At 40.7% G+C, this 11,193-nt stretch overlaps 2 annotated features.

Annotated features, from left to right (window-relative positions):
• Positions 358–1,557: an enhancer, noted in NCBI's record as "P300/CBP strongly-dependent group 1 enhancer chr5:81648113-81649312 (GRCh37/hg19 assembly coordinates)". NCBI's record gives its function as "activates an origin of replication core promoter dependent on BRD2, BRD4, P300/CBP, MED14 and CDK7 cofactors, with strong dependence on P300/CBP, by STARR-seq in HCT116 cells {active_cell/tissue: HCT116}" and the evidence as "EXISTENCE:reporter gene assay evidence [ECO:0000049][PMID:35650434]".
• Positions 4,651–5,850: an enhancer, noted in NCBI's record as "P300/CBP strongly-dependent group 1 enhancer chr5:81652406-81653605 (GRCh37/hg19 assembly coordinates)". NCBI's record gives its function as "activates an origin of replication core promoter dependent on BRD2, BRD4, P300/CBP, MED14 and CDK7 cofactors, with strong dependence on P300/CBP, by STARR-seq in HCT116 cells {active_cell/tissue: HCT116}" and the evidence as "EXISTENCE:reporter gene assay evidence [ECO:0000049][PMID:35650434]".

An 11,193-nucleotide genomic window follows, 5' to 3' on the forward strand; every position in this document is an offset into this window, starting at 1 on the left:
AGCATTCCCTCATCTTTCTGTTCATAACAAATGTGAGTTCCTCTTCTGACCACTAGAGGTCTCTAGAGAATCACGGATCAACATCTGAAGCCTCATACCCTCTTGCTATCAGCCACTCTAGGAGGTGGAAATGTTTATTTTTCCAACATGAATAGTCAGTCACATAGTCACAAGAGATCCAAGGCCTGAATCTTAAATTTCTAAAAATTAAAAAATGCATATAGCTGCTTCAGTGGGTAGCTGCCTACTCAACTTCAAGCTGGCACTGACCATCATCCCTCAAATATGTCCCTTGCTATTTTGATGGTAGAAATTCTGCTATTACACAGAATAACAGCACTGCTTCTACTAAAAAGGCAAATGCTGTGGAAGCCTAATTTATACAATCATAATGAGTTATTTATACGATAGTATGAGTGACTCCGTTGGGCCTTTGCCATTGTGATTACGAAGGATGACAGATCAGGGTTGGTGGGGAGATGAGGAGGGCAATGAAAGAGGAGGTGAAGACAAACTTCATCTACTTCACACCATTGCAGAGGTCTGACCCCAGGTCCTCTTCCAACTTCCTGCCCCTCAGTAAGTGCTGTGGGTGTGTAACCCAACTCTGGGGTCAAGTGAACAAACTGCCCTCAACTTCCTTAAGGCTTCCTGTTCAAGACGATGACTTCCAGACTTTACTGGGACACTGATATTATCACCTCTGGAGTCCTTGATGTGACTCTCTTCCTGGTCATATGGACTGTAGCTATTTTGGGCGTGTCCAACATGTTTGATAGTGCCGGTGATGACAAGTGTACATTTCAACATTCCATTATTTAGAACACGCATGTAATTATTTGTAATGAATCACTGATGACATCTGGAGAACAATGAAGTCCTCTTTTAATGTTTGGATGATTAGCTATCGGAAATTTTTACTTTGATGGTCTTTCATTTTTATCTCAAGGATTTTGGATATTAGTTCCTGTTGCACTCTGATGTACATTAATTTTTCCTACATTTATCTGTCCATCAAACATTTATTGAGAGTCTATTAATTTCCTCTTACACTGAAGGCTCTATAAATATGAGGATGAATAGGAAGAATAGGGCAGGGTTCTCAAGAAGTTCGTCAGTTGATAGAAGGGCCAGATATGTTGAGGCAGTTACGAAGTGCATGATAAATAGAGAAGTACGAAGTGCATGATAAATAGAGAAGTACGAAGTGCATTGGGACTAGGAAAAAAATAAAGAAATACTTCTAGAAAAATAAAGTCCATTTTCTCAGCTTGTTTGAAAGCCATCATCTGTTGTTGTTATTATTTTTCATCAGGGGACAGTAGTCTGATAATTCACCTTGATGCCTTTGGTATATTTTTTAATTGCTTTTAGCTCTTTTAAAAGGTGCTTACCACAGGGTTGAAGGGTAGAGTATATGTAAGGCAATGTGGCTAGAGCCTACTGGTATAACCCATTCCAAAGGAGTGACCTCTTATCTGGTCAAAGGAAGACCAGTGGCCAGTAGGGTTGCCTGTGTTTTCACAGTGGATATCCTGGAGCTCCTGAAGTTGGTACTACTGGAACACAGAACATTCCCTACTGAAGAGAATGTTATAAAGTGCATATGTTCTTTCTTTCTGCAATTTTCAAGGATTGTGCACATCTCTCAGTAACCTAGCCTTCTTTTGAAGCCTTGCTTACAAGACAGAAAATTAGGTGAGTGGCTGAGATTTAGAAGTGCGTATCTACCAAGGGGGAGAGAATAAACTGTCTTTTGAGCAGAGAGGTGGCGCGAAAGCTCACCAACTTCCTGGGTCCAGTATTCTCAGGAGGCCATCTCTTCTGCTGAGGATGGCTTCCTGCAATGGGCTGTGGGTTTGTTTTATCTCTGACCCAAAATAGCATTTGTATTCAGTTCTCTCAATGGAGAGAGTGGAGAGAGCAAATTTCATTTCTTCATTATGCAAAAAGACACATGTATTTATAATGAACAACTCCATTTGGCTTTTTACTTTTAGGTGGGCATAGACTTCAATTGATGCCAGATCCTCCTTTTTCCTTGGAGAATCATGCTTGTACTTTCTTAAATTACATTTATCTACCCTTCTGCATTTTCTTTACTCTGATATTCTTTTTGGAAACTTTTTTTTTTTTCAAACCTCCAAACCACAAAGTGAAACAACAGGGAACATGTTCTTACAACTGGGAAGTCAACATGACAGACATGTTTGGATGTCTGTTATATAGCTTGCTGTAGACCCATCTATTAATAAATAACTGAACGTGGCCGGGCGCGGTGGCTCACGCCTGTAATCCCAGCACTTTGGGAGGCTGAGTCGGGTGGATCATGAGGTCAAGAGATCGAGACCCTTCTGGACAACATGGTGAAACCCCGTCTCTACTAAAAATACAAAAATTAGCTGGGCATGGTGGTGCGTGCCTGGTTCAAGAGATTCTTGAACCAGGGAGTTGGAGGTTGCAGTGAGCTGAGATCGTGCCACTGCACTCCAGTCTGGTGACAGAGCGAGAGACTGTCTCAAAAAAAAAAAAAAAAATTGAACGTATATGAAGACTATAAGTAGGAAACTTACCCACCAAGAATTAAAAAAGAATGAAAAGGCTTTCTGAATCCAAGCTTTAACTTATTTTCAAAGCACTAATGTAGGCCAGTGGACATTTGTCACATGCAAGATGTATTAGGCATTGTGAGACCAGATTATGGAGAATGTGGGAAGCTAAGACTGACAGTTGCCAGGTTAGCATCTTCATGTTCCCTGAACAGAGGAAGAGATGTTGAGGTTGTCATGACATCACTCACAGAAGGCTCTTGCATCACTTTCCTCGTCTCCCTTTCATTACTAGTAAGACTTAGAATCCCAGAGGCCTTTGGTTTGCTTTTCTGCTTCTATGCTTCAGGGGACCTGGTACCGTGTAGTCATTAAATGAATGCCCAATAAGGCCCAAAGCCTGGAATCATATTTGCATCCTGTTGACATATATTTACATAGGTTGCTATCATTATCTGTTTTTGATCACCCTAAAGGGGCTTTGGAAACACAAGTATTATACATCATAATTTTTGAGGAACAATATCTTTCTTTGATGGCTTTGAATTTGGAGGTCTTAGAACCAACTTGTTATGGGTGAAAATTGCAAAACCTAGGTGTGGGGTTGGGGGGAAGTTGGAGAACAGAACAATGCTATTGACAACTTGATATTCCAAGAGCAGAGAAAGCTATTTCAGGATATGTTTTCTCGTTTTGGACATCAAATGCCTATCCAAGTTCTGGAAAATGTGGCTCAAGGGTTGCATGGGTCCTGGGCAGCTCTTGATCTGAAGTCCCTCATCCTGGCCTTTGATCTCCCACTCCTTTACTGTTGCCAGGATGGAGGGTGATGGAGTTGAGTTCACATCAGCATTTGAAGTAATGCGGTCCTCATACTGTCTTCTGCTCGAGTTTACTCAGGTTCATTACAGGGGTGGGGTTAGAGGGCCATTTGTCTTGGGCCTCAGATTGAAGAAGGGCCTCAAAGCTGAACTTTAAAATCTTTCTCCAAAACATGGTGTGCATATGGTTATTAAAATTATTATTGGGACAAAAACATTTATTTGCTAAATATAAATGTATGAAAAATACCATAATTTTTGTAGCAGTATTTTAACACATTTTAAAAAATATATTAGAAGTGTCCAAATGTGGAATTGGCTCAGATGTCTCAGCTTCTGAGAAGCTCAGAATTTACCACCAAACAGCAGCCAACGTATGAGGTCCCTTGGGCTTTCGTCCCATGCCAAATGACCCAGCTGATAGAGCCTAAGAACAGATTAGATTCCCTACAGATCCTGATCTTTGAGTATGTACTTCAAAGTGGGGTTTTTAACATCAGTTTTTAAACTTTGCTCTGCATGCTTGTAGGACACTAGCATATTTTGACTTATAAGAATTAATATTTTACCCATTGAAAAAGTACCCCTACTGGGCCACATTTTTAACTATTTAAATTGGGAGAAAAAAGCTGAAATACCCAGAGTTCATGGAGAAAAAAGTGAAATAGGATCTGCCAATATCTGTCAGTACTCCATAGGAACAAAGCAGTGGAAATGAAACTCAGTGTTTGGGCTGTGCATGTGTGCGTGTGTGTATGTGTGTCTTTGTGCAGTTGGCAGATCAACCCTAAACAGGCCTCGTGTGGCTGAGGCTCATGCATTCACAAATCCAGGTGGTGGCCTCCATTTGCAAAAAAATTTCTTTGTTTTGCCATTCTCTGGGCAGAAAGTACTGCCAATAATATATGAGTAATATCTGGGGCTCATTTCCATTTGGATGTGGAGACTTAGGTCTCTAAAACTTTCCAAAAAAAATGTCCGATTGGGCCAGTAGGGAAAGCCATGATGCAACCTTAGTGGACTCATTTATGCTTTGATTGCCATTTCCTGTAGATATCCATGTTTATACATTACGAGGCATAATGTGCTTCATCTTATTATGTGCTATTATTTTAATTTTTCCAATGATAAAATAATGCATGCTTTTTTGTAGAAAATTTGGAGAAATGTATCCTATATAGAAGCTTAAAGGAAGTATGTATAATCTCAGCAAGCAGTGTTATCTCATGCTGACTTAATTCTAAAAGAAATTTTGGTAATTTTTGTTAATTCTTTGTTAATTCTATGCAAATCATTCCATTGAAAATAATAATGACAGAAACATCAGAGTTTTAGGTTTGATCATCAAAACCTGTTTACTGTGAACCTAAAATACAACAGGGACCTGTTGGGATGCATCTAAATTCCAAAGGTCATGTGGATACGTCCTCAAATCTTTTGTTTCTGTTTTAAAATGACAGTGATGGTAAATATTTATGGTTGACTGTGTATCATTGCCCTACATTTTTTATGTGAACCAACTATTTTAATAATTACAAGAATCTTAAAGGAAAGTGCCATTGGTAGAGTCCCATTTTACAGATGGAAAAATTGAGATGAAAAAGATTAAGTAACTTGGCCAAGGTTACAGGCAACTATGCAGTAGAGGTGAGTCAGCCCGTCTTCCAGAAACCCTGAGCATCTTCCCTTCTAAACTTGAAAGTGTTTAGTTTCTTCAACTAAGGGCATAACCGGGTCAGTCAGGATGTATTTGACCACATGAAAGGGCAGCAAAACACATCTCTTTGCTTTGATTTCTGTAGAAACATGTCCCCTGTGTTAAGTGGTGACAAGCCTCGTGGGGGTTTTGCTCAGGCGACAGGCTGGAAATGCATGTGTGGCAGGCGGGCTTGTGAGATCACATCCGAAGCTGGCTGGACTCAGTTCAGTCCTTTGGAGTGTTGATTCAGATGACGGGGGGAAGAGGCGAACCCCTCTTCTTTGGCTTAGAAGATTACGGATCTGTAACTTCAAAAGCTGTTTGCAATTTTATATTCACGTCTCGCTGCCAAGGTGCTTGTCTTATCTGCAGTCTGTTGGCTGGGGCCCTTGTGAGTAAGCTGGGCGGTTTCCTCCTGCATTTGGAAGGAAGTTGCAGGGTCAAAAAGGGGGGTGGGTGGTGGAGAGGTGAGTGTGGCTGAGAGGATGACACCAGCGGAAACAAGGGAAATAGTCTGGGAGGAGGGCCAGACGAGCAGGGTGTGTCAGAGTGAACTCAGGGAGAGGAGAGGAAAGGCCCTTTCCTAGTCTGTGCTGATCTGGGAGGACACACCATCTAAACAGGAAGAGCACAGAACAGAGATTCATCAGACAGACCTGCTTGGGGTTCTTGCTTGCTGGTTTTAAGGCTTTGTGACCTTGGTCAATTTACTAAACCTCTTTGGCCCACCTTCCCCTTCTGTACTGTTTGCTGTATGGTCTGTTTTTTGCTAAGCTCAGGTGGTAATGTTGCCCTCAATACTCCATGCCCAGCTTGTTACAGAAGGAAGAATGCTGGTCTAGGAGACAGGAGATCTGGGTGGATTTTCTGTCCTTACTCTTCATCAGCGATCTGACCCTGGGCAAGATTAAGAACTAATGTGACCCCCAGTTTCTTAATCTGTCAAGTGGGTATAATAATACATACCCTTTTAACTTCACAAGGTTTCTGGGATGCTCAAAGAAGATCAGGTGTTTGAAAAGATTTTGTAAACCTAAAAGGATTATACGTTGAGCTGTTCTAGATGCTGGGTGAAATGTGCGACTGAACACACAGTACTGGTGGACTGCTGGGTTCTCACTCAGGGATGGCAGAAAGGTTTCAATTTGTGAGCCAGCCACTCTCATTGACTGGGAGTGGCTGCCTGGACCTCCTGAGCTTTGGCTGCGTTCTGAGGGAAAGAGTGCTCATGTTGATTATTAATGTCTGTCATGGACAAAGGGGTAGGAGAAGTGGTTCTTGGATTGTGCGTTTGCTCTTTCTGTTCCCGCCTAGTGATTTCTAAATTCGGTTGCTCATTTAGATTCTCCTGGTTAAAATGCCCCATCAGGCAGATTTCCCATTTCATAGGCCTGGATGTGACCTGGGGTGAAGGCAAGGAATCTTCATTTTTTAAATAAAGCTTTCCTTGCTGGTTATTTTGATAGTTGTGCAGGTGTGGAGAGGTGGAGCAGGCATCGAGTCACATGGGAGCTCCAGGTGAGTCTCATGGAGCTCTGAGCATTGGAAGAATGGAGCACAGAAGAGTTAAGCAACTTTTCTAGACATGGTCGTAAGTTTGAAAAATGTAGATCAGGCCTGTGGTTTCTAGTAGGTTGCCTAACTCTTTCTTCATTAAACAAATGGGTTGTATTGTCTGTTATGATGATTCTCCCACTGGCTTCAGGCCTGATTATTTTTCCTTGTGGTTCAGACAGCTGCTCCAAAAGAGTCAGATGCTGAGATCCATTGTCCACCCTGGCTCCTGCTCTGAATTGACATCAGTTTGCAACTAGCAGTTTCATAAATCAAGAAAAAGAAGAAAGGTAAATTAATGACTGTGTTAACTAGAGGGGCTCTGAATTTCTGCTTTACATGTACTCATTTTGAATTTCACTTTTATTATAATGAACTTGCAAACACAGCATTGCAATAGTATATGCACCTCCCAAAGATGCTGGGAAATAGCTGATATTTCATCATTTGAGGACAGTTTGTGCCTGCAAGTGGCAGAGGTGCAGGAGGAGACAAATAAAAGGGATGCCTACATCCTATTTCCATGAATTTCTGTCCTCTGAGCTGAAAGACAATTTACAAGTTGGCTGATAAGACCTTGAAGAAAGAAGATATTTTAAAACTTTAATTGAAAATCCCCATTCCTTCTCATTGAAGAAGCAAAAGAAGAAACTATAATGATGGACACTCTGGTGCTAGTATCAGTCATTTTGATCACAAGACGTGGACCAGCCCACCTTGGAGCTCACTGTGGTGGTGGCCTGGTCCTAATGCAAGTCCTAATGGAGCTCTTGGAACTGGCTGTAGCCTTTGCTGAGCAGGAGCAACTATGTCTCTGGTTCTTAAGGATTGAAAAGGTAAGGTTGCAGTTCTGGATGCTGGCATTACTTCAGGGCAACACACACACACACATACACACACACACACACACTCAGTACTGTAAGTCATCCTTTCTCTCGTAGGGGAAGATGTGTACTTTTTTTTTTTTTTTTCTTGAGATGAAGCCAAACTGAAGAAAAACGAACAGAAAAAAGAATCACAGGCCCACAGCTTACATGTCATTCATACAGGCAGGATTCAGGGCCTCGGCTTCTGCCAAAAGAAAAAGACATTCTACACCCCTATTTCTTAATAATAAATAACGATTTCTACAGCAACAAATGCTTTTAACTCTGCCCCCATCTCTGCTCTATGAGCCTTGAAGGCATTGCAGTTTGAGACCTGCGAGTTGGACCTTTGTCTGCCTGTACTTTCTGAGAACTCATGTAAGAATGAAAACACACACATATACACACACACACAAACACAAAAAACAACAAACACCAAAGCATTCTGACATGAAACTCTGGCGCCCATTTCTCTGAGGCAGTACATCATTTTAAAGCTTTTAATTTCTAGAGTAAGGAGTACATTAGTTGTGCCAAATGAATATTCAAATTGCAGGTACTCCAGGATTTATGCTGATTCTAACTTTGAGGGTTGCACTTTTGAGTTTAATTTTGTCTTGTTTTAAGCATGGGAGTGAGGGGAAATACAGGAGTGCACAAGTAGGCAAAAGGGCAGGCATGATTGATGGCCATAGAAAGTCCTGACAAATTTGTAGTCAATATTGTTTGTCTAGAGAGGATTGTGTGACAAAAGAAGTGTCAGCAGCCACTGAAGTCTCATTCTTCAGGACCCAGCCTCCGAGTTAGAATAGGGGGCTTGAGTGAAATGCCTGTCACGCTTAATTGGAAAAATCACTCCAGATGAGTGAGAGAGGCTGACAGTTATGCATTACAGAGAGAATTTAGTGTGTCTTACAAGGTTGATACAGGCACCAAAAGTGACTGGCTTTAGCTTTTCCCTATTAGGACGGCCACTAGAAGGATAAAACCCAAGAAAAGAAGCTACTTCTTGCTTCAGATTCACAAGTGCTTGTAAAAGACTTCCACCTTCATTACTTTCATTGTCACGCCGGTCTTTACCTCAATTCCTTTTTTTTTCTTAGGTTTTCATTCTGTCCTGGCTTTCTTAAATACCAGGGACAATTTCACTGGGCATACAGTGGAGAAAGGGAAACCATAGACTTACTCATTCTCTCTCTGTCTCACTCTTTCTCTATCTCTCTCTCTGTCTCTCTCTCTCAGTGTGAATGTTTGCCTGTCTTTGTGGAATTGGTAATGAACATTTCCAGCCATTACTTCCAGTGCACAAAGGCTAAACTCACTTTGTCATTTGATAATTTGTTTATCTGTCAGCATCTCTCACCCTGAAATGATGAGGCTTTGGGAGAGCTGTGGTTTCTCATCCAGGTGAAGTCTGAGAGCCTATGGTTCTATAAGGGCTAGAGAGTTTGAGAGCGGAGATGGATAACTTGTTCTCTGAGTCCTGGGAGCCCGCTGTTTCAGGGCTAGCACCACCAACATTTGGATGCTTGGGTGCAATTTGGTCATGGGTCTCTTCAGTTTAATTTTCATCTTCCTGTTGGGTGTCTCAGCATTTGTCTCTGTGATCGCATAGATTTTTGAGAGGCTGAGGACGGCTGCTTTGCCTTGAAGCTTCTGAGCCTGTTTGGCCTCCAAGACTTCAGCCACCAAGTTGTTACACAGCAGTGCTTCCTTTGTGTTGTCCCTTGGTGATGTGTTGTGGTTGGTGGCATTTATGAAAAGGATGTGGCCTTAAAGACTGCTTAATTCCAAACTTGCATAATTCAGGCCATATCCTGAACTCAGTTTTACTGTTCATTTGGCCTGCCAGCCTTAAAATTCTTTGATCCTCAGAAAGAATTTAAATTTGAGGCACTTACATTACTTCACATTTTGAGTGTGAAGAGACTATATGAATTTTTCATGTTACACTATTTCGAATTTGTGTAAAATATGGCCATGTTAGAATAGTCTATTGGGGTTTGTGACTGTTAACTCTTACAATTCTTAAAAGTATAATCTAATTCATGGAGCTAAGTTCCTAAATCCTACTCATAGAAATGTGAGTGTAAATCTTTTGTAGATGAGTGGGTAAGCTAACAAGACTTGGAAAGTATTTTGAGGTAAATGTTAGGGCTATTATTAATATCTTTATATGGCACAGCCTGAAATGCCTCAGTAACAAATTAATTTAGTTGAATTCAATAAAGATTTATTTAGTACCTACCAAGGGCCAGCCCAGCAGAATAGTAGACATTGGAGCTACCACATGGATCAGGAATTGAAGTCAGTGAGTTGAACTCGAGGACCCAAGAATGGTAAACTCAAGCCAGCCATGTGTGACCTTTAACATTGCAGAATGTATTTATCTTATTCTCTTACCTTTTAAACTTATTCTTTCATGAAGAAACACATAACACTGCCAATTGAAGTGAGGAGAAATGTAAAAGTATTTCAGACATTTTTGAGAATGCCCAGCGACAGCATGGAAAGTCTCTATGAATTTTTTTGTTCACGTTTTACCATAACACTTTTAATTTTCACTGTTGAGGCTCCATGCCACTTCTAGCTGTGTGTCTTTGAGCAAGTCATTTAACCTGTCTGTGCCTTCATTTTCCCTTCTGTTAAAAATGAAGAAAATAAAAGTGACTATCGCTAAGGGTTGTTTCAGGGATTAAGTGAGTTCACATTTGTTAAACTCTCAGAACATCCTGACATATTCTAAATATATGGTACACTACTTTCGATAAATAATATCTTTAAAAAATGTCCTCATCTTTTTTTTTTTTGGTTTTATTTATGTATAGTATGCTTACACAATGGGATCTTTGTCTATGATATCGAAGACTTTCAATGGCAGCTCATTGTCCAGAATGGCAGACATTCTGGTCATTGTCCAGAAAGTTTTAGAAGGTGGAATTTAATGTATTCTGAATACAGAACTCAATCCAGATATCAAATTGCCTTGGTGAGATTTACTTCTCTGGTTAAAGTATGATGCAGGTAAAGTTCCAATCCTGATTAATGCAGTTGTGGTCAAAGTTTAATTATATTTTGGAAATGTAGTATTTAAGTGACATCTATCACTTAAATACTATCATAAATGCTGAGTCCCATGGTGGTATTGATGGACCTGAAAATATATGTTTTTTCAAGTGCTTTTACAAGTGAAAAAATGTAGCTAAAATGTTATTTCTCTATTCTATTTAAAATTAGGTTTCTTGGAAAAGCTTTCATTTTCTGAAATAAACATCCCCTTGAGCCTGGTGGTATGTATAAATATGGATTCACGAAATGTGGGTTTGCTTAAAAACAAGATATGCCCAACGAACTTTGCTTCCTTTTTTGATAGAGTGGGGAGACTGCTGGGGAGGGGAAATTCCACAGACAAAATGTGTCTGGATTTCAGGAAGACGTTTGATAGAGTCTCTTATGACGTCCTTGTGGGAAAGATGAAGGTACACGAGCAGAGTGACAGTGAAACTAGGAGGCTTCGTGGCCAGTTGGACAGGGATATGTGAAGGGCACTGAATTCCAGGTGGTGCCACTTGGGAGGGAGGCTGCAGGGCTGTCTGTGGACCTCACCTTTTTGGCCATCTTGACCTGAGGTTTGGATGATCTCAATCGTGAGGAAAAATTAAGAAACCATATCAAATAAGAATATGAAGTTTAAAGTAAATAAA

Source organism: Homo sapiens, chromosome 5 (assembly GCF_000001405.40).
Source record: "Homo sapiens chromosome 5, GRCh38.p14 Primary Assembly".
NCBI classification, from domain to species: domain Eukaryota; kingdom Metazoa; phylum Chordata; class Mammalia; order Primates; family Hominidae; genus Homo; species Homo sapiens.